We start from the raw sequence: 24,619 nt of genomic DNA on the forward strand, positions 1-24,619 counted from the left end.
TTTATTTTTTGCATTAAATACTATTTGAAAGAACCTGTTAAGGGCCAACACATTTGGACTAAAAAAGATGGCTGGAACTGCTGAAGAGTTAGGGTGTGAAGCAGACTGGCAATCCCACCCCACCAGACACCTAGGGAAGCTGAAGTTGACTGGCTGGCTTTCATGCAGAAGGAGGAGTCAGTTTCCATGGCATGGACACAACACTCCGGATGGTTAGGACTGCCTGTCAGCACAGAGCTCCTCAAATTTCACACAAGACAGTAAGTGTTTTTAAGTTACCCTCTCTTATTTACTATAGTTATTAAAAATCACTCACATTTATTAAAACTGATATTTATTGACTACTTTGCACTTGATTTCCTATCTTTATGGTAGATGTGCCTCTACCAGAAAGATAGGAAATCAAGTGCATTTAATCAAATTCACAAGGATTGGTTACTAAAGGAACCAATTGATAAATTTCAGTAGTCAATGCCAAGCTAGTGAGTTGTATATATTTTCTGCAAACAAATTGTGTTTGTTTTTGTTTTGTAGAAAGCTTCTAATTAATAGTTTTTTGTAAAGCAGCTTTGTTAAAATACAATTCACATACCATAAAACTGGATTCATTTAAAATGTAGAATTCAGTGGTTTTGGGCCTTTTGGAGTTGTGAAAGCATCTAATCTAATTTAAGAACATTTCATCACCCCAAAAAGAAATCCTGTACTTATCAGCAGTCACTCCCCACCCCAACCTCCATCGCAGCCCTAGGCTGCCTATAGTCTACATTCTAGCTATCTAGATTTGCTTATTCTGGGCATTCCACATACATGGAGGTATGCAATATGTGGTCTTCTGTAACTGGCTTCTTTCACTTAGCATGTTTCAAGGTTCATCCATAAAGTATGTATCAGTACTTCATTCCTTTTTATTGCCAAATAAGAATGCTTTATATGGATATTCCACATTTTGTGTATCTATTCATCTATTGATGAACCTTTGGGATGTTTCCACTTTTGCCTCTTATAAATAATGCTTCTAAGAACATACATGTACAAATGTTTATATGGATATATGTTTTTCTTCTCTTGGGTATATAGCTCATTGGAATACTCAGACTTTCCCATTTCAAAACTTACTACAAACCTGCAGTAATCAGGACTGTGTAGTACTAGCATAAAGATAGATATTTAGAGCAACGGAGTAGATCTGAGAGTCTAGAAAAAACCCTTATATTTATGTTCAATTGTTTTGTGGCAATTGTTGTCAAGTATAAAAATTAACTCAAAACGGATCACAGACCTAAAAGTAAGTCTTAAAACTATAAAACTCTTAGAGGAAAACACAGGAATACATCTTTGTGAGGGAGAGGACCAACTTCATTCTTTTAGCTGTAGATATCCAGTTGTCTCAGCATCATTTATTGAAAAGACTATTATGTTGTCACTGAATTTTCCTGGCATACTTATTGGAATCAGGAAGTGTGAGTCCTCTAACTTTGCTCTCTTTCAAGATTGTTTTCTTCTGGGTCCCTTGCATTTCCATATGATTTTTTAGAATCGGCTTTTCCATTTCTCTGGAAATAAATTTTGCTGCCTAATGCTTCCACTTGAATTGCAACTCACCCATGGAAAGTTATGGAATCTTGGCATGAACTCAAATGTGGGACAAATGGGGTTAGTTGAAATGTACACCTGCTTAAAGGCCTCTATGAAAGGCAAGCGAAAAACTTCTAGATACTGATTTAAAAAATGGTTTTATTTTAGTGGCACCCTCAGATTAGAAACACTCTAGCATTTTTGTTTACTATTCTATCATTGATCAAACACTCCAGTGTAAGGGATTTCTATTAAAATGAATTTTGAAAGTAAAATGCAGTCTGTGCCATCTTCTCTTTTACCTAACATAGTATGTACAGAGCATCTACTTCACAAAACATGCCCAATCCTTGTCCTGCACACCCAAAGATTCTGATTCCTTTTGGACTGAGGCCCAGGCATCTGTATTTTTGAAAATCCACTGCTGATTCTCATGTATCCCCTCAGTTGAGAACAGCTGCCACATCCTTACTCCCTCCTCAGCTCTCCAATTTTGCTTCCAGCCAGTCTATACCTTACTTTTCAGCCACAAAGATATTGCTACTCAGAGTGTGGTAAGTGAGCTAGTACCGTTGTGAGAACTTGTTACAATGCAGAATCTCAGGCCAGGTTCCAGACCTACTAAATCAGAATCTGCATTTTAACAAGGTCTCTAATGATTTGCCTATATCAGAGGCTAGCACACTATGGTCTACAGGCCAAATCTGGCTCACCCCACTTTCGTAGGCCCGTGGTCACCATTTAAGGTGTTGAACCTCCATGGGATAGCACAGTGAGACTCCCAGAGCAAGCCCAGGCAATGCCCTCTGCCCCTGCTGGCCCCTCAGCAGCCCACAGCTGTGCCTGGCCACTGCCCAGGCCCTGCTGGTCACCACCTACACAATGGAGACTCTGCTGGTGGCAACTGCTGGGACTGAGCAGTGGAATCTCAGTATGGGAGTTGGTGGCTCCATGAGCCTCCATGTCTCCTGCCAACTAACTGGAGATGACCCCTCTAGGAGGAGAGAAAGTTCACTGGGATCTGAGCATCACTAGGGCAGAGTGAAACTGACCATCTCACCGACCAGGCCCTTCCCCCTCAGGCTTGTCCTCGTTCGCCTAAGAATATCTCCACCTGAGGGCTCCAGGGTACAAAGAGGGTAGAAAGATCCACCCCAGGCAAGGGGGGCAGGGTGGAGCAGGAGTTTTCTTTCCTACATATATGTAATAGACTCTTGGCATAATTTTTTTTTCTCTTTTATTCCCCCCCCCCCCCCCCCGCTTTTTTCTTTTCCTCTTGGCATAAAAATATTTACTATCTGGTTCTTTACAGAAAAAGTTTATTGACTCTTGGTTTACACATTAGGAACTACTTCCCCTTTGCAGCATGTGACTCTGGACACATACATGCTGTCTTTCAGCTGGGGATACTCCACCTCCATCAGTCGCCAATATGTCTCTGACCCATCGCATCAGGACCCAGCTTAGGCCACTTTTAGAGAAAGCTCTTTTACTTTCCGGTCTTTGTGAATGGTTCTTTCTCTCTGTCCTCTGGGCATTTAGGGCATTGCATTTTAATTACGTTTACTTTTCTTTCTCTCCCTCCAGGGCTGTTCTCACATTTCAATGCACTCACCTGGAGGGCTTACCACAACAAAGATGGCCGGACCCCTGCCCAGAGTTTCAGATTCTGTAAGTCTGGGGCTGAGCACAATAATTTGCATTTCTAACAAGTTCCCAGGGGCTGCTGCTGCTGCTGGTCACAGTTAGTGAAGTTGACTCCAGCTCCTTCTTATGATCCCAACTTAAATCTTGAGATCAGAGACATTCCCAATGGCCCCATCTCAAGTGGCACTCTCTCCACTCTTGTTTTCTAGCTCAGCTCCTTCTTTACGTCAGCAGCTCTCAACCTTTTCGTTCTCAGAGCTTCTTTCTACTCTTAAAAATTATTGAGAGCCCCAGAGAGCTTTTGTTTATGTGGTTATGGTTGTCAATTTATTCTATTGGAAATTAAAACTGAGAAAACTTTTAAATATTGATTAGTTCATTTAAAAAACTGTAATAAACTTATTACACTATAATATAAATGACATTTTATGAAAATAAATATATTTTCCAAAACAAGTGTGACTAGTCACATAGGTTTACTCTCCCCTGCCCAATCTCTTTAATATCTGACTTAATAGAAGACAGCTGGATTCTTGTATCTGCTTCTGCATTCAGTTTGTTGTTTTGGTTAAAGTATATAAAGACAATCTGGTTATACACACACACATACACACAAGTATATGTAATATATATACATATATGTGCATGAGATATATATACATACACATATACATACACACATATGTATATATAATATATAATTATATATTATATACACATATACACATGTATATTATATATACGTGTGTGTACATATAATATACACATATATATTATATATATAAAGTTGGAAAAGGGAGGAATATTTTCAGATAATTGTGGATATTGTTTGATACTACAACAATATTGTGTAAGTTGTAGTGTCTTAAAGATTAGTTGCAATGTGCAGTCTGAAATGATATCAATGCACTTTCTATATGGTTTTATTAAAATCCATTGGTCTACCAAATGGATCTCTTTATCCATGCATGATTTTGTAACATTCTATCTTTGCCATGGAAAATATTGGTCTTTAGGGTGATAAATATTTTCTAAACATGCACACATTTCATTGTACAATATTCTAATAACACATTCATTAAGTCATGTAATCAAAGATAAAGATTTAATAAAAATAATTCTTATTGTTTCATTTAGGATGTTCCTATGTAACTGGCTTTTTAAAATTTACTCTGAGTGTGTGGTGAATGGCATGATTCCAGGTCCAGTTTGGTGTCATTGCCTTGCTTCATGCTAAGGTACCAGCAGTTTTCTACACTATTGCTTTTGAGCCATCAGAACAATTGTCAACACAGTGTAAAAAGGCCAATAACATTTTAATATAATGAAAACAGCTTTGACTTCACAGATCCCCTGAAAGTGCTCCAGGGATTTCTGAAGGTCTATAGACTATAGTTTGAGAACTGCTAGTTTATGGCATAACATTAATAACAATTTTCACATATTTATTTGTGTGATTGTGTGTCCATCTCAACGGGTGTAACAACACTAATACTATTTAATTTTCATGGAGTACCTGCTCTGTATCCAATATAATTTTTTTTTGCAAATTGACATTTATCCTTACAACAACCCTGGCAGATTACATCCATTCTATAGATAAGAAAGATAAGGCACAGAATTACATGCAATTCTAGCTTACTTACTAACTTACTTACTTACTAACGTAAGGGAACACTACTAGAACTCTGAAGTAGGAGTAGGAAATAGCACTGGAGGATGGTTTGAGGCCAGGTAGCCCGTGAGTTTAGACATAATTCTGTGTGCAGTGGGAGCCACCAATAGTTTTAGGGTAGGTGACAGGCAGGCACTAACCACAGGAGCTAAGGTCTAAGGACACACTCATGCCACACACATGAGGCAAACTGAGAGGCAAATGCATGCGGCAGGAAAGGAAATAAATGATACAGAAGTCTATGGGATTACTCGCTAGGAATAAAGAGTTACATAGAATTTCCTAAGTGGCATGTCTCTCCCACAGTTGTTTTCTGCCATGGAATTGGCCAAAATGTCAGACATGACAAAGCTTCACCAAGCTGTGGCTGCAGGAGACTACAGCTTAGTGAAGAAGATTTTGAAGAAAGGTCTCTGTGACCCAAACTACAAAGATGTAGACTGGAATGACCGGACCCCACTTCACTGGGCTGCAATCAAAGGTGAGTGGGCAATGCTTAGGTAGATCTGCCCTTTTGAGTCCACCATTCATGAGGCTATCAATCAGTAGGCTATGTGGGGGAGTGGAACAAACATTTCTTTAGAGCCAGTTGGAAACTTCATTTCATTTTTTTTCTTTTTTTGAGACAGAGTCTCGCTCTGTCATCCAGGCTGGAGTGCAGTGGCACAATCTCAGCTCACTATAACCTCCACCTCCTGGGTTCAAGCGATTCTCCTGCCTCAGCCTACCGAGTAGCTGGGATTACAGGCATGTGCCACCACGACTAGTGAATTTTTGTATTTTTAATGGAGAAGGTGTTTCTTTATGTTGGCCAGGCTGCTCTCAAACTCCTGACCTCCAGTGATCCACCCACCTCAGTCTCCCAAAGTGCTGGGATTACAGGCGTGAGCCACCACGCCTGGCCCCAGATGGAACATTTTAATCCTGATATCACCGCTTACTAGTTGTAGCATCTTAAGCAAGTTATTTGATATCTCTGGGCCTGTTTATTCACCTAAATAACGTGTGCAGGAATGCCACCTTGGAGCCCTGTGATGGGAATTCAGTAATATAATGAGTGTACAGTGCCTATCTTACAGTCTGCTCTCAGTTAATATTAGTCCTTTGCCCTCTCAACCTCTAACAGGAATAGAGCATCACAAAGAAGGATAGGGGACTTTGCTTCATTCCTCATTGAATCCCCCACGCCTTACATAGCTCAGTTACAGAATTAGAGGAAGATAGTGGCAAAAACTCAGGCTGTGGGCCTCTCAAAGCCTTTGGCAATAGAAAGCCATTAAAGAATGTTAAGTAAGAAAGTGCTATGGTCAACTTTGCTTTTTACACATTTATTGTGATTCTTGTGTGGAGAATGGGTTGACAAGAAGCAAGACTGGCTGCAGAGAAATTAGTTGGGATATTTTTGCAAAAATCTAAGTACAGAGTGATGGTAGCTATACCGAAACACCTTTTAGTGAAGATTTGCTATGTGCTGGGCACTGTGCTGTGTACTTCATGTCTGTGATTTCACCTGCACTCTACAAGAATTCAGTGATATAAGGGGTAATATCCTTAATTTGCAAATGAGGAAATTGGCCTCAGATATTTGTTTCTTGTCTGAGGTGCCACTTGTTAGCAAGTGGGATTGTCAGGGTATGAAATCACATCTATCAACTAGAAAGCCTGTGCTCTTAACCTGTGTTATTTATCACGTAAATAGGACTTAAAATATTTGGTTTTGGCTCAGTGTTGAGACTGTCAAAAGCACAGTGGGCCTTACCAATAGGCAGGTATAGTGTGGCTTGGGAGAGAAAGCAAGATTCCTGGGCAGGGCCTGTGGCAATGCACAGGGGAGGGGAGTGTCCTGGAAGGAGGACAGGGAAGGCTTGCAAGGCTCAGGCCCTGGGTGGGAACAAGGTTCGTGGGGTGAGGTAGGGCACTGAGTCCCTGGTGAGAAGAGGGAAAAGGGAGGAGGGGATGATGATAGGAAACTGGAGGCTCCTCAAAGGCAAAGTTTCCCCTTCTATTGTGTTACCTAGACTGGCCCTGGCCTCAAGCCACTTGGGACATCTTTATCCTAACCTCATCCTGTTTCTTTTTGGTACATCTAAGGGCAAATGGAGGTGATACGGCTCCTGATAGAATATGGAGCCAGGCCCTGCCTGGTTACTAGTGTGGGCTGGACCCCAGCTCATTTTGCAGCAGAAGCAGGCCATCTGAATATACTCAAAACTCTCCATGCATTGCACGCTGCCATCGACGCCCCTGACTTCTTTGGAGACACACCGAAGAGGATTGCACAGATCTATGGACAGAAAGCCTGTGTGGCATTTCTGGAAAAGTAAGTTTATTTTTTTTCCACCTATAGAAGGAGCAGAGGAACAGGAGTCTGTGATCAAGATCTTGGGTGATTCTGTGGTCTCAGGTCAATGAAAATGAAATGAGGAAATCCAGCCAATGGACTATTATTTTTATTGATTTTTTTAGTTGAGTTATTTTTATTAGTGTTTCACTTAAAAGACTAGTTTAGGGGTCAAAACTATATTAACATGTTGTTTTGATTATACAAAAATTATCTCAGATAAGAGAATTGGAATACCAAGTTTGAAGATGGGACATGGTGCAAGAATCATGACCTTCAGCTTTCTAAAAGGCATCCAAACTGGCTGTGTGACCTTGTGCAAGTCAATGCAGCTTCCCGACCCTCAGTTTTCTCATATTTAAAACGAGGCAGGTGAATTAGACTTCCATTTTTCAGTGCCCTCCTATCTTTTAAAACTTCTATGTTCATCTGTGAATGCCCTATTTACACACACCAAAGAACTTAACTAGCACCTGTTTATTTTTTTCGCTCAGCCAAGCATTCAAACATAATTAAGCACCAATAATTTGCATAACAGTTATAGCTCTGAGAGGATGGAACAAAATTTGGAAACTTAGAATTCGATTGTTTCGACAAGCAATTCATACAAGAGAAAGTAGAGTATTGGAGTGAGGGCATCGTTGCTTGGAAACCAAATGATATAGATAGCAATGCCATCTATAGGGGCAGTTCATGATGGGGTGCCCTCCGAAGAACCTGAAAATGCAGTTATCTTCAGAAAGTTGAACAAGTGAAAATTTTGCCTATGATGAGATTAGTTATCTATAGAAGTAACCCAAGAGACATTCTCTTAAAGGTAATGTCTTACATTAAAAATATCCAATATCACAATTGAGATGCTTTGGGGAGTAAAGAGGCAGAACCTTGAGTCCTGACTCACAGATTCACTTTTCCCAATTTCATCCATCATCCCCTACATTCAACGATCTCCATCCTCTGTGGACCTCAGCATCAGCAGACATTGTTCTCTGAACTTTTTAAAATCCTAACATACCACAATGTGACCATAGCTCTCTTCACTTTATCAGTTCCTGCATTATCACCAGGTCTTGAATTCATCAAGATCTCTTGTCACTCAACTTCTCCTTTTTCTCCTAATCTATCACCTTCCTGAAGGTCTCACTAAATTTCCTCTACCATATGAGTACCATAATACACTTCATTCTTCCACTCTCTTCCCGCTATTCCTGCTATTAATTCTCAACCCAGCACATAACCTGGAATTCCCAACCTTAGATGAATCTCTGTCTTCTCCACGTTTATCCTTGTTCAGCTAGAGAAAATCCCACGTCAATATATGGGTATCCTAGCAGTTTGAATATTTCCACTTTTATCTGAGCCCTCAGAGCAGCTTGGCTATCTCTTCCTATCCTACTCCTCACTGGCAATTCCAAAGCCACATCACACCTCAGCCTGTCTTTCAGAGGTATGCCTTCTACTTTAGAAAAAATATTGAAGCCATGGGTTACACATTTTTCAAGTCTCACACCTGCAGATTTTATGTACATTTATATCAGCTCCTTCTTGCCGTCCTGTCCCTCCTTTGTAAAGTGTTATCCCTCCATATAGACTCTTGATCTAATCCTTTATGTCTTCTAGAAGGCCATTCATTATTCGTGTGTTCTTTGTTACATCTTTACGGTTTCTCCTGTATTTTTAGTGTTTTTTCCTTTCCCTTGACTTCTTTTTGGACTGTGAACATGTTCAAATAGGTATTATCAAACAAACAAAAAGTTAGAGGCCCTTCTGAATTGCGCTGTGTCTTTCTTCTTCCCTACACTTCTAAGCAACTTGAAAGCTAATCTACTTTTTTTAATCCAAAAGGAAAAGCACTTATCCTCTCAGAGTGTCTAACATGTTTTATAGTAATAACTTGTGTAAAAAATATAATTTTTGAATAGTTTTCTGTATTTTTATTGTGATGAAAAACTCATAAAATTTACCATATTAACTGTTTCTAAAGTGTACAGTTCATCAGTGTTATGCACATTTACATTGTTGTGAAACAGAGCTCCAGAACTTTTTCATCTTGTAAAACTGAAACTCCACACCCATTAAACAACTACCTTCTCTTTCTTCTCCCCAGGGGAATAGAATTTTGACTCTATATAAATCAAGAAACGCCTGACTTCTTTAGTAGTTTGTATTTGCAAGATCTAAGATCATGGTAAACATTAGGTCCTAAAATCTTGGGGAAGGACAACATGTCCTTCCTCTGACTTGTTAGCAATCAAATTGAGTAGGTTTTAAATGTCTGTTAATTGGAAGGGTTTGTTATTTCATTTTCAGCCAAAGGAGAGAGGTGCATTTTAAGTATCAGAATTAGATCAGCTTTGAGTTTGTACTAAATTTGGAATGTAATAGATTTTCATAAATTACGTGTGCCTTTTTGGAAATGTCAACTGTCTTTATGTCTGCTTGTAAAAGTTTCAAAATATGTTTTTCTCTCAAAAAGGCAACGTTATTTCATTTGCTTGAATATTATGATAGGAACGCTTACTGATATTACTTGATAGTTTTATATAGCCTTGGAACTTTAACATATAATATAGCAGTATTAATCATGATAGTTGTACTTCTTTGAAACATTAAATTTGAGGAAACTAATCTATGTAATTGTCTCCACTTCTTCACCTCTCACCCACGCTTCAGACTTCTTCCCTGATCCCCATACTGAATCAGCTGTCACTCAAGTCATTAGGGAGCTCCTCACGCTAAATCAATTGCCTCTTCTCAATTCACATCTTACCTCCACTTAATTCGGTATTTAATATTCCTGAAACTCTTCTCCCTTGTTTTATCTGATGCTATTCTCTTTTAGTTTTTCTTCTACTTCTCTGATAATTCCTTATGACTTTTAAAATGTGCTTTTTCTAAGAATAAATCTTATGATATGTTCTTGCGTGCCTTTTAAATGCTGACATTCCTTAGGGTCCTGCCCTTGGCTGTCCTCTACTGACTCTCTCTAAGTAATCCCAGCCCCTCCCTAGTGACCAGGGATCAACATGAAATATGATCCCAGCATAACTGAAATGCAGGAGGGGTGCTTGCCTCCAAATAGTGGGGAGTGCTATTACCAAGAAAAGTAGGCAGACAGTGTTGAGCCAGCAAAAACAATAAAGGTCAGTCACATCACGTGTGAGTCATTTCTACTTATTATCAGCTCCCACTAAGAACTTCCCTGACAGAGCGTTTAGGGAGAAGAATCCTGAATTAAGGGGGGATTAACCTGGATCTTGAAAGCTAGCTGGCTAATGAAGGAGGGAGAAAAACTGTTGATTTAGAGTGAAGGCACCAACTTGGAAATGTGCATAGGTTGTGTGTATATGTGAGAAGGTGAGGGATAGTGGAGTGCAGGGATGAGTGGCCTGGCTAGGCAGAGCATTCACACTAGAGAGGAATGGAGCATAAGGTCAGGTGACGGGGTGGGTGACCACAGTGAACTAGGCAAGCAGAAGAGTGTGAGCTCATCAGGGGAGTCACAAGCTGAAACAGATGCATTAGCAATTTATTTGTGTAGTAGAGGAGTTGGCAGTGGTACTGCGTGGGATTGAAGACTGCTAGACTTTAGGCAAGGGGATCACTTAAGGAATTTCTTATTGATTCACATTTTGAGTAAGTTGGCTCCTGGGCTAGGTGATGAAGATAAAGGATATAAGAGAACTTCAAAAGAAGCCTAGACCATATGTGATCATTTTCTGAATATCCTAGGGAATGTTGTGAAACAATTCAGCTTTTGATTCAGCCCCCCAAGTGATAAACCTCTCATTTAGCAAATATTTTTGAGTTCTACTATGTGTATGTCATTGAGTTAGACACTAAAAACAACCTAAAATAAACCAGATACAGTGCTGGACATCAAGAAGGTTAACTGTGTGGGAGACGAAATAACTTGTTTACATAAATAACACTAATACAAGACAGAGAGTGACTAGGCAGAGGAAAGACATGGTGTGGTCTGAAGATTGAAAGGTCACTTCCAGCTTAGGGTGAGGGACTAGTGAGTTTGCTGTCCTTTGAATGAACTGTGCTTTTAATAATGGTTTGCACTTAAAATGCTATTTGCCTTCCCTATACCATTATCTATCCTCTTAAATTCCATTTGTCCTCATATTGGTTCAAAAGTGACTTTTCCAAGTACCTTTAAGCAAGTCACATACTCACCATTGGCCTCATACAAAACTGTATATGTGTGTATTTCCCATTGTCTATGTGTGTATAATGCTCTATTTATTTATCCATCCATGTATCCATTTACAATTATATGTATTTTTACAGAATCCATACATACGTATAATACATATGTGATTGTGAGTGATTCTCATTTTGTTCCTTATATGTTTCTGTACTTTTAAATTTTATACAAGGAACACACATCACTTTTATGATTATGAAAAATAAAACTAAAAATAAACGAAAACAGTCTCGCAATAATCTGCAGGTTGCTCTATAAATGTGAGCACTTCAAGAATCAGGAGCATTTTCTTCAAGCTGAGTGACTATCTTTGAGTCTGTTAACATCTCACTCGGGTCCCACAATTTTTCTCCACCTCCAAGTAGTTTCTTTAGTGTCTGAGACCTTCCCTAAGTGTATGCTTGGAAATGCTCAAACTTGGCCTCCTTCCTTCTCAACTGAACTGCGGTGTGCAGAACCTGTGAATAAAGGCCGATTCCCAGGCTGGAACAGGTCCTCCTGATCCAAGTTCAGAAGGCTCTCTCTTCTTTCCTAGGGCAGAGCCCGAGTGCCAGGACCACCGTTGCGCTGCCCAGCAGAAGGGGCTGCCTCTGGATGAGCGTGATGAAGACTGGGATGCCAAGAAAAGGGAGCTGGAGCTGTCTCTTCCTTCCCTAAATCAAAACATGAATAAAAAGAATAAGAAAAGTCGAGGCCCCACCAGGCCCAGCAATACCAAGGGGAGGAGAGTATGAGAACTCAACCTTATGTTTTCTGGCAAGGAACTTTCCCTGGTGCCAGAAATGAGGCTGTTAGGCATGGTGGCCTTTCCATGACTTTACTCATAGACCCTTACCCACCTGGCTTCTGCCCATGGACCTGTCATTAGGTGCTGTCCACATGGGCTGTTGTTTCCTGGCTAGCACCTACTGTGTACAATAATTACCGGGAAAGGACAAAACCTGCTTGCATTTTGTCATCAGTGGTTTGCACAGTCAGCATCTTTTGACCCCTGCCCCCCAACAATAATAGAATTTCAGGAGACAAGGAAACTCTGGCATGAATTAACTTCATCCCTGATAACGATCGAGAGATAATGTAAAATAATGAACATGTGATTATAGGTCTACTTTTTCAACTGTAAATTTGGGAAAATTAAATTCAGATCAGATAATTCCAATAAAAAATTGCATCCAAATTGAGATGCAAAATACACATTAGATTTCAAACACTTAGTACAAAAATATAAAATGTCTCCTTAATAATACTTAATATTGATTCCACATTGAAATGATAATATTTTGGATATTGCGTTGAATAAGATATATTACCAAAATGAATTTTATCTTTTTCCTTTTCCTTTTTAAAACATGTGGCTACTAGAATGTTTAAAATTACCCATGTGCTTTTTTAGTTTATTTCTATTGGACAGCATTGCTATAGAACCCAAACAGCATGTTAAGCCTCTACTAGGAGACTAGTCTGGTGTATTTTACTTTCCCTGGCTGCTCTGCATTTTAGATATACTAATTTCTCTGCCTAAATCAATTTATTTAGCTATCAAGTATCTTTATTACTTATTCCTCAATTAATGCTTGTGTTAATACAAGTCATGCTTTGTTTGAATTTTCTGGTATGAAAAAAATGCTTGAATATCTTATAGAAAAGCAGTATAGCTATAGAGGATACCTTTCCTCGTGTTGATCTACCCTTGAGCATCAATCCCTTTCTCTATGCTCTGCAATGCAGAGTAGTTCCTGCTTTGGACCAGTAGAAACATTGGAAGACAACTGACTCGAGCTGGACTAATAAGATTCTTCTCCTGGGTACTTGAAAAGAAATCCTCATGATAGGCTGGACCAATAGCAGATGACTTCAGAAGTATGGAGTGGCTAATTCTACACTAGGGCTGAGGAAGGGTACAGAGATGCTCTACAAAAAGGACAAGAAGACCGAGGAAAAGACAAAGGGATAGAGATAGGTCAGTAGATAAATGAATAGAGAGATTAGATAGATAGATAGATAGATAGATAGATAGATAGATAGAGATGAATAGTTAGATAATTTGCTATTCCTAGTTCTGGTTCCTTACTCAGGAATCTGTGAAATACTATTTTATCATAAAAGTTGCCCTTTGCTTACAGTATATTGAATTGATTATTTTCCTTGCAAGCAGACTTTTCTAATAAGTACAGTATTTTAATCATGGGCTTATGAGTAATGGTGACTTAGGTTTGTATCCTCCTCTACGGAAATAGGTAAAAGAATTCCCATTTCCTGGGGTTGCTGTGAGGATGAGATGGACAATGTGTGTAAGATGCTGACATTGGCACACTATAACTGGTTTATGTCATGACTGTTGTATTACTATAGAAGTGAACTCAGTTTTCCCCTGGGAATCCCAAAGGGATCCAGGAATAATGCCTTTTATAGGTCACATGAGGCTCTTTATTGTCCAGTCCATAAATATCCCATCTAGTTTTGTGGCATGGATAATAGCCTGTCCTCCATCAGCTGGACAAAACTGTGATAAGCAAAGTGTCTTTGGTTGTGTCCACAACCCTATGGCCTCCCAGTGCCCTCATTGTGCCCTCATTTCATACTTATTCTCATTGAGATATAAAGAGACTTATGTCTTCTCCCACAAGTTTTTAGGTAGTAAGTGAGAACAACAGGAAGAGAATGCTAAAATAGCTTCTCTGTATGAATAATTTAATGCAACATAGACTCTATACTAAGTGCTTTACATGGATTGTATCTAATCTGCATGACATACCTGCAAGGCAAGTATCATTATCCCCAACTGACATCACAAACTGAAGTTCTGAGAGGTTGAATGACTTGCCCTAGGCCACCTGACCGATGTTTGTGCTGGCTGTAAAGCCTGGCTGGATTTGGTCGATGGGCTAATCTTTCAGGCTCTAAGACCTTTGGCAGGTTGCTTAACTTCTCAAGTTTCCTCTTCTGTAAACAGGGAGATCATACCAGCACCTATGTCATAGGGTTGTGGTGAGGATCAAATGAGATAATACATGTTAGCTACTTAGTACAATGTCCTCAACAAGGTGTGGGTCACCAAATGTCAGTTGCTGTGGTAGTTATTATTTTTCACAGCCTTCACTGTCCCAGATACGTAACAATGAAGAATGGCTTGCCTCGAAGCATTTCCCTCAGTCCAGAGGGGGAGATTTGGGGTGACATCATTCTCTGAAGTCCATCAAAACCCTGAATGAAGTTGTCCACTATATTCTTGCCCCTGAGGTTGAGCTCTCCACCGAGCAGCCTTAGGGCTGAGGTTTGTCCCTTGCAAGGTATCTGAGCCAAAACAGGTGGACTTCCAACATCCTGCCTTCATTCTGTCGTGCTGACTGTCCATTTCACTGGGATCTATTTGAAGATTTGCAGCAGTTGAAGGGAGTGGTATTTGTGGTCCTTGCCTGTTCTGTCCCATCCTCACAGGCAGGGAGAAATGAGCTGTTTATATCATGTAGGAAGTAGAGGCAGTATCATGTCATACAAAGGGCAGTGGAAGAGGAGAGACGATTCTGGACTTGACTTCACCTGGCACTGGCTATGTGACTGTGGGCAGTGATTCTGGGATGGGATTCCTTATTTTTATTATTATAATTATTATACTTTAAGTTTTAGGGTACATGTGCACAACGTGCAGGTTAGTTACATATGCACACATGTGCCATGTTGGTGTGCTGAACCCAGTAACTCATCATTTAACATTAGGTATATCTCCTAATGCCATCCTTCCCCCTCCCCCCACCTCACAACAGGCCCTGGTGTGTGGTGTTCCCTTTCCTGTGTCCATGTGTTCTCATTGTTCAATTCCCACCTATGAGTGAGAACATGTGGCGTTTGGTTTTTTGTCCTTGCGATAGTTTGCTGAGAATGATGGTTTCCAGCTTCATCCATGTCCCTACAAAGGACATGAACTCATCATTTTTTATGGCTGCATAGTATTCCATGGTGTATATGTGCCACATTTTCTTAATCCAGTCTATCATTGTTGGACATTTGGGTTGGTTCCAAGTCTTTGCTATTGTGAATAGTGCCGCAATAAACATACGTGTGCATGTCTCTTTATAGCAGCATGATTTATAATCCTTTGGGTATATACCCAGTAATGGGATTGCTGGATCAAATGGTATTTCTAGTTCTAGATCCCTGAGGAATCGCCACACTGACTTCCACAGTGGTTGAACTAGTTTACAGTCCCACCAACAGTGTAAAAGTGTTCCTATTTCTCCATATCCTCTCCAGTACCTGTTGTTTCCTGACTTTTTAATGATCACCATTCTAACTGGTGTGAGATGGTATCTCATTGTGGTTTTGATTTGCATTTCTCTGATGACCAGTGATGATGAGCATTTTTTCATGTGTATTTTGGCTGCATAAATGTCTTCTTTTGAGAAATATCTGTTCATATCCTTCGCCCACTTTTTGATGGGGTTGTTTGTTTTCTTCTTGTAAATTTGTTTGAGTTCATTGTAGATTCTGGATATTAGCCCTTTGTCAGATGAGTAGATAAAACCAAAGGGTAGAACCAGATCTGCAAGATCACATCTATTGCTGTTATCATACCAGAGTCTGGAACCTTTAGATCTAGACTGTCTAAGAAACCAAGTTAAAGCAGGATGTTGCCCCTGATGAATTCACACCAGGCATCCAATCTACATATTTAAATTAAGATGTTCACATTCACTAGAATCATTAATTTTGGACCTATACAAAACCTGAACTCATTAAGGAAATGACAAGCAATTATTCTTCTTTCACTAGGGAAGATCTAAAGTAAGCACAGTCCTGCCTTCCTTCTTTTGTTTTACCAGTTGTCAAATATTTATAGAGCCATACTTTATGTCTAGCACTATGCTAGATTCTGAGAATCAAAAGATAAATAAGGCCTGAGTAGACTGTGTGCTCCTGAGGGCACTTTATTCAACTTTGGATATCTATTTCTTAGATCAGTAATTATAAATGCTTGCTAAAAGAAAATTTAGAAAGTTACAATCAAAATATTAGAAGATGCCTTTATAAATGAGAAATCAAAGCTGTTAAGGGTTGAATTGTTTCCCCCCCTAAATTTATATGTGAGGTCCTAATTTTCAGTTCCTCGGAAAGTGGCCTTATTTGAAAATAGGGTCACTGGGGGTGTAATTAATTAAGTGGAGTGGAGTTGAGTGGGCCTCTAACCCAGGATGATTGCTATCCTTATGGAAGGAGACACTAACTGAGGAAAGAGGATGTGAAGAGACACAGGGAAAAGATGGCCATCTACACACCAAGGAGAGAGTTCTGCAGCAGATCCTTCCCTCACAGCCCTCAGAAGGAAACAGCCCTGCCAACACCTTGATTTTTGAATCTCTAACTGCCAGAACTATGATGAAACAATGAATTTCTGGTTTAAGCGACCCAGTGTGTCATACCCAGTGTGTGATACTTTGTTATGGTAACCCTAGCAAACTAATTCAGAAGCTACTGACTCTTGGCTCTGAGCTACTTCCATTATATTACCAAGAGGGTGAGTAGCACTATGTATGTCCAGGGCTCTTCTGCGTAGCATTTACATGTTTACTTTGGCCAGTGACTGAATTATATGGAAATACTTTCTTGTCCATGGGAAGATTTTTATATCTTATTTTTAAAAACCAACCTTTACTGTGGATTCTAAGAACTGTACCACAGAACACTGCATTCAGGGTATGTCTCCATGAAATAAAAGCAGCTAGTTAGAAACATTAAAAATGCAGGCAACAATGTTATTGTTTAGTACTTATATTATCAAAAAGATTGGTGGGATCTATTTTGCTTAACAATACCCCTTATTGGTCATTCCTTGGGAGAGAATCACAAATACCCTGATTTCAGCCAAAAACATTGTTAAAATTTTTTCTTATCAGTTTTCAGACCTTAATCCTTGAACTTCGGAATTAACAACCTTTTATTTTCTGTTTCTGTCTCATATACTCCCTTGGCAGGCAATGTTATTTTAAAAGTTCCTGAAGAGAAACATTATAAGTAAAACAAAAAAAGCATCTAACAAAAACCAATTTAACCAGATCACATATTTCACGCTAAATTTTTCTGTAACACTTAAAATGATTGATTCAGTTCATCTTCTTATAATATTGCAACACTGATTTGGGAGACAATGATATCTTGACTCCTGCTTTCCACCCTCCACATTATTAAGTGAAGAGGAGAAAAATTTAGAAGATAAAGTGACTACAATGTGGATTTTAAAATCTCTCAAGAAGGAGACCCTTAAAACAACCTCGATCGGCCGGGCGCGGTGGCTCACGCCTGTATTCCCAACACTTTCGAGGTGAAGGTGGGCGGAGCATGAGGTCAGGAGTTCAAGACCAGCCTGGCCAATATGGTGAAACCCTGTCCCTACTAAAAATACAAAAACTAGCTGGGTGTGGTGGTGCGTGCCTGTTGTCCCAGCTACTTGAAAGGCTGAGGCAGAAGAATCGCTTGAACCTGGGAGGCAGAGGTTGCAGTGAATAGAAATTGTGCCACTGCACTCCAGTCTGGGTGACAGAGGGAGACTCGGTCCCAAAACAACAACAACAACAACAACAAACAACAAAAAAAAACCCACCTCGATCAAGAACAATACTAAAACATAAGGCTACAATTTTCAGAGAAAAGACAGATTTCTTTAAAAAAAAGTTAATAATAAAAATTATGAATAATTATATACATTTTTTTCTGATCCCAATTCTCCAATCTAATTTCATTTCCTAATACTCCGCTTTGTACACCCCTGGTGCCTGCCAAGCTGGGCTGCTCACTGCCTACTGATACCTACCCTGTGTGCTGTTCCAAACATGTTACCATGTCTACTCAACAAGTTTTTGAGTTAGTTGTTATTTTAAATGAGGACATAGGGGTTCATAAGGTTAGGTAATCTGCCCAAGTCACACAACCAGCAGAGGACAGAGCTGGAACTTGGACTTAAGCTCCACAGCCTGGCCTCACGTCCGCGTGCTACACTGCCTGTCTGCTCTGAGCCCTGGCTCCTGTCATCTCTGCTAGACACCCTCTGTCTTCCCTCCTGCTTCTCCAAATCCTATTCCTTCTTCAGGGTCTACCTCCACCAGAAAGCCACTCAGAGTACAAGGCCCACTCTATTTAGTCCTGCTTCGGGTTCGAAATAAACTTCTAATGAGATAGTTTCCTTTTCTTGATTGATTCATAGATACCACTTTCCTCTGAGTTTGGGTCTTCTTTAAGATCTCTAAAAAGCAAGGGCTCTGCATATACTTCTTTTGTTTCTCCCAATGGGCCTAGGTAGTCCCATGTCATGCTCAATATACATTTCTTGACTGAGATTGAGTCATCGAGTATTTTCTAGATAAGGGTGAGGAATAATTTTTTTTCCCCTAAAACTGAAAAAACCAAATAAAATCCTCATTGAACCTAAGCTAAAGTATTTAAGAAGTTAAGGATGGTTTTCTCAGCAACCTGGAGAAACTTGACCTTTTTGTTTTCCAAGCCTGGCCTTTCGAAAGTGGCTCAAGTTGAATTTTAACTCAAGTTACTGAAGTGGTTGCAGTGACAAATAGTAGAAGCTTCTTTTTACTGAGCATCAGCCATGTGCATGCCAGGTATTTTGTATCAATCTCTTCAAAATGTCATACTTAAGTAAGGGTTTTTACAGATAGAGAAATGCAAGTTTAATAAAGTTATTTGTCTGAAATCAACCAATAGTTTATTTTTATTTTTTATTTTTTTTGAGACAGTCTCCCTCTATTGCCCAGGCTGGAGTGCAGTGGCATGAGCTTGGCTCACTGCAACCTCTGACTCTCAGATTCAAGATATTCTCCTGCCTCAGCCTCCTAAGTAGCTCAGACTTCAGGTGTGCACCACCACACCTGGCTAATTTTTGTATTTTTAGTAGAGATGGGTTTTCACCATGTTGGCCAGGTTGGTCTTGAACTCCTGACCTCAAGTCATCTGCACCCCCCTCAGCATCCCAAAGTGTTGGGATTACAGGTGTGAGCCACCATACCCAGCCAATCAATAAATTATTAATGAAAGATTGCAAACTATAGCTGCTGTGCTTGATTTTTTTTAGCTCATTATTTTATATTCTCCAATGCTGCCTTTTTTGGATTTAGATGAATTCCCTTAGTTCTCAACCTGCATCTGGAATGTTTCTGGGAAAACTACTTAAAATTTCTGATCTCAATTTTCTTTTTTATATTGTTTTCACAGTTGACATGATGTCTACTTAGAAAATCCCAAAAACATCTGGAAAAATAACTGCTAGAACTATTTGGGCCACTGGGTTGCAAATACACCAGTGATGACCTTAAAAGAATAATAGTTCAAAATGACCAACATAAATCAATGGTTCTTAATAGGGAAGACTGACCTTAATAAGCCAAACATCTAATTTTTTGCTTAGGTCTAGAATTACATCAATCCAGTGAGATAACCCTCGTTCTTTTATGGTAATCTGATTATGGTGACTACAAATTTGATAAAATTTTTGATTAATAAAAATGGAGAAATCTATAGATATTAAAAGTAGCAAAATAATACTATGAAAAACTTGATGCCTACAATTTGACAACTTATCGGAAATGGGAAAATACATTGAAAGACATAATTTGTCAAAGTTTACTCATAAAAAATTATCTATTTTAAAAAATTCAAATTCTAGTTAAAAATAATCCAAGATGGAAAACTTCAGGCCCAAGTAGCTTTACTGGCAAATTCTACCAACCATTTAAGGAAAATACAATACCAATTTTATATCAATCCTTCCAGAAAATAGAAGAGGGAGGAATGCTTCTAACACTTGTTATGAAGCCAGTATTACCCTGATAACAAAACCAGACGCAAACATCACAAGAAAACTACAGGCCAATATTTCTCATGAACACAGGTACAAAAATATTTAACAAAATGCAACAAATCAAATCCATCAATATATAAAAAGATAATACACCATGGCTAGGTAGTATTTTTTACCCCACGAATGCCAGACTGGTTGAACATTCAATAATCACTCCTTGTAATTCTCTATTTAGTCTATCAACAGACTAGAGAAAAGAAACCACATGAGACATGAGAGAAGCATCTGAGAAAATTTAGTAAAATAAAATAAAAACACTCAGAAAACTAGAAAAACCTACTTCATCTCATCTATCAGGAGAACCATAGCTACTGTAGTGAGTGGTAAAAGACTGAATGTTTTCTCCCTAATATTGGGAACAGGACAAGGATGTTCTTTTCTCCATTCCTATTCCACATTATACTGGAGGTTCTAGCTTGTGCAATAAGATAAGAAAAAAAAAGCTGAATAAAAAGAGACTAAAATAATCTCTGTTCATGGATGACACAATTGTTTATTTAGAAAATTCCAAATAATCAGAAAAGAGAGCTACTAGAACTAGTAAGTGAAACCAGCAAGGTTGCAGGACACAAGTTCAATATAATTAAAGTCAGTCCTCATTTCTATATATTAGCAAATGCACTACTGGTAATTGACAAAATGCATAAAATGCCATTTATAATAGTACCCAAACTACATGAAATACTTAGAGATAAATTTAAATATGAGCAAGGTTAGTATGCTGAAAATTATAAAACTGATGAAAAATCAAAGATCTAAATAAGTGGAGAGATACAAATGCTCATTGACTAGAAGACTCAATATTGTTAAGATGTCAGTTCTTCCCAAACTGCTGTATAAATTCAATACAATCCCAATCCAAATACCAGAAGGACTTTTTCTTAGAAATTGTCAAGCTGATTCTAAAACTTATGAAGAAACGTAAAAGAGCCGGAATAGTCAAAACAATTTAGAAAAAGAACACTGTTCAAGGATGCACACTACCTGATTTCAAGGCTTATAATAATAATCAAGATAGTGTGATGTTGGCAAAAATATAGATACATAGATTTATGAAACAGAATACAAAGTCAAGAAATAGATCCCCACAAAGATAGTCAATAGATTTTTTTGTCATAAAAGTGTCAAGGACATTCAATAAAGAAAAGTTTTTTTTTAACAAATGATGTAGGAATCATTTGTTTGAATGGTTTGGATATCCACATAAGCAAAAATGACCCTTAATTTATATCTTACATCAAATATAAAAATTAACACAAGATGGATCACCGACTTGAAAATAAAACACAAAACTTTGAAAATTCTAGAAAAAAAAAGGAGAAATTATTTGTGGCTTTGAATTAGGCAAAGATGTCTTAGATATGGTACCAAAGCCATGATTTAGCATTAAAAAAATGAGAATTAAGAACTTCCATTCAGAAGACACTATTAAGGAAATGAAAATACAAGATACAAACCTGGAGAAAATCTTTGCAAAACATCTGATGACAGACTTGCATCCAGAATATATTTTTTAAAAGCTCAAAACTCAATAATAATCAAACAATCCAATTTATAAAATGGGCAAAAGATTTAAACAGATAATCCACCAAGGAAAATACACAGATGGTAAATAAGCACATGAAAAGATGGTTGTCCTCATTAGCCATAAGGGTAATGAAAATTAAAATCACAATGAGATACACGCCTATTAGAATGGAATAAGAGAAAAAAAAAGCTGACAATGCCAAGTGCTGGGAATGCAGAGCAATGGGATCTCACATACTTTGCTAGCAAAAATGAACAATGGTACAGCCACTTTGGAAAACAGCTTGGGAGTTTTAAAATAAAGTTAAATATACACTTACCATGTGACCAAACAATCTCATTTTTAGGTAGGTACTCAAGTGAAAGAAAAACTTACGTAAAACCTGCCTATGAATGTGTATAGAAGCTTTAGTCATAATTGCCAAAAACTAGGAACAATCCAAATATTCCTCAACTAGTGAATGAGTAAACACACTTGGTCCCCCAATACAATGAAATATTACTTAGTAATGAAGAGAAATGAACTACTAATACACACAATATGTATTAATCTCAAATGCATTATGCTCAATGTAAGAGGGCCAGATTCAAAATATATGCATATAGTATGAACCATTTGTATAACTTTCTGGAAAATATACAACCAGGACAGAAAACAAATCAGTGGTTTCTAGGTACTGGGGATAGGATGGAGAGTTTACTCCAAAGGAACACAGGTAATTTTTTTAGGGTGATGTCACTGCTCTCTATCTTGATAATTGTAGTGATTACATGACTGGGTTACATGACTGTATGGTACACTAAAAGTATAAGTTTTAGTACATGCAAAGTATACGGTAAACATTTTTTAATATGGGGGAAAAATTAATGATTATTTAATTCATGTAGGAAGACAAAGCCCCTGTCAAAACACCAGGTCCATGAGAGTTGATGATGGAAAAGGGAATGTATTCCATAAATTCTTGGTGAATAAATTATTGGAAATATTGGGCTAGTTCAGTGGATTCCCTATTGGCTTTGTATCAGAATAACCTCTGGAGTTTATAAAAAATACAAATTTATGGATTTCTCCTCAGAGATTCTAATTCAATAAGTCAGGTCCCAGGAATTTCTATTTTTTCAATATTCACTAAATTAATGTGATGTCCATCCAGGGTTAGAATCCTTGAGCTGTATAATTGTTAAAATCCTTTCTAAACTAATCATTCTTATAACTGCATAGAATTTAGGATGTATGTAAACTTCTTTGGAGGAAAAATATTTACGTTTACTAGCCCTATGTGACATTTAACATTTCCTTCAACTATGAATGGTGGGTAACAAAACTCATACGTATTATTAGTTCATGTGGCTTCGTTGCACACAGATATCTCAGATATTTTCATGTTATATTAATATTATATTTCAAATTAAGAAATATTTTGATAATATCTCAGATATCTTAAAATATTTATACTCATTAACTGGAAATTACAGTAACTATTAGAATTATCTCTAAATCTAGTTATGTAATATATTAATAATGACATAAATATGCCACAGTTATTTTAATATTTTAATAATTGCATTATGATAATATCAGTATTCTTTGTAATCTCTTATATTACATTTTATATAAAAAGGCTTTTCCTAGAAAGGGGTTTATAGACTTTACCAGGCAGCCAAAGTGGCTCATGGGACAAAATAATTAAACACTTTCATGGTAAGTTTCCCTGATTTAAAGTGTTAGGGCTCCCGTTGTCATTGCCCATTTTTGTAATGGAAATGTGTTTTCTTTTTGCCAATCTGTACATTACCTTTGTCCACTAAGAATATTAAGAGAAACCATTTTTCCCAATCTGTGATTTATTTTTTAATAAAAAAGTGGGCCGGGCATGGTGGCTCACTCCTGTAATCACAGTAATTTGGGAGGCTGTGGTGGGTGGATTACCTGAGGTTAGGAGTTTGAGACCAGCCTGACTAACATGGTGAAACCCTGTCTCTACTAAAAATAATAATAATAAAAAAATTATCCACGTGTGGTGGCACAAACCTGTAATCCCAGCTACTTGGGAGGCTGAGGCAGGAGAATCGCTTAAAACTGGGAGGCGGAGGTTGCGGTGAGCTGAGATCGTGCCATTGCACTCCAGCCTGGGGGACAGAGCGAGACTCTGTCTCAAAATAAATAAATAAATAAATAATAATTTTAAAAAGGGGAGAAAAATCATTAAAAAAATAAAGTATTATGGCTCCTGTAACTGCAGACACACCCATATTTAAATGAAAGCAGAGGGGGAAAGCTACTTTAAAATAAAGGTGTGATGGGGTTCTGGATCACCTAAGGCATTTCTGGTTACCAACATCCCTTTACTCAATCAAGCTGGCACGGAAATATATTTAGGTCAGGCGCGGTGGCTCACGCCTATAATCCTAGCACTTTGGGAGGCCTGGACAAAAAAAGAGCGAAGCTCAGTCTCAAAAAAAAAAAAAAAAAAAAAAAAAAAAAAAAAAAAAAAAAACGGAAATGTATTTACTTGTGCAAGCCCAGCTGACAGGTTGAGGATGATAAGGCTTGGGTGTTGAAAGACACATTGAGCAATATGAGCATTCCCATATCACTCAAGTGCCTATACTTACGCTCATTCACGCTGATGGAACTTCCTCTTCTCCCACCATTTCAAAACATGGCACGCAAAATGAAAGGAAGAAAGACAAAAGAAGCAGCTAAGGTTGACAACGGAGTTGAAAGGCGCTGGTTTGTGAAAGCAAACAGATATGATGGAATACACATAAATA

The 24,619-nt window shown here is 38.3% G+C and overlaps 1 protein-coding gene across 2 annotated transcripts; it reads left to right on the plus strand.

The window, feature by feature from the left end:
• Positions 1-202: 202 nt before the first annotated feature.
• ANKRD66 (ankyrin repeat domain 66) lies at positions 203-12,776 on the plus strand. Of its 2 annotated transcripts, none has more exons than NM_001162435.3 (5): positions 203-260; positions 3,166-3,249; positions 5,207-5,381; positions 6,992-7,220; positions 11,993-12,776. In NM_001162435.3, exons 3-5 carry the CDS (start codon positions 5,219-5,221, stop codon positions 12,189-12,191), a joined length of 591 nt encoding a protein of 196 aa, NP_001155907.3. In that variant the 5' UTR covers positions 203-260; positions 3,166-3,249; positions 5,207-5,218; the 3' UTR covers positions 12,192-12,776. The 2 variants fall into 2 exon arrangements, with proteins under 2 accessions (NP_001155907.3, XP_016865637.1); XM_017010148.2 differs by lacking the exon at positions 11,993-12,776 and adding an exon at positions 9,349-11,984.
• The last annotated feature ends 11,843 nt before the right edge of the window (positions 12,777-24,619 follow it).

The sequence above is a fragment of the Homo sapiens genome, chromosome 6, assembly GCF_000001405.40.
Source record: "Homo sapiens chromosome 6, GRCh38.p14 Primary Assembly".
Classification (NCBI taxonomy): domain Eukaryota; kingdom Metazoa; phylum Chordata; class Mammalia; order Primates; family Hominidae; genus Homo; species Homo sapiens.

Coding starts and splice junctions, on each gene's coding strand:
- ANKRD66 (NM_001162435.3), top strand. CDS start 5,219: ATGGAATTGGCCAAAATGTCAGACATGACAAAGCTTCACCAAGCTGTG. Junction 5,382..6,991: donor TCACTGGGCTGCAATCAAAG/GTGAGTGGGCAA, acceptor GGTACATCTAAG/GGCAAATGGAGGTGATACGG. Junction 7,221..11,992: donor TGTGTGGCATTTCTGGAAAA/GTAAGTTTATTT, acceptor CTTCTTTCCTAG/GGCAGAGCCCGAGTGCCAGG.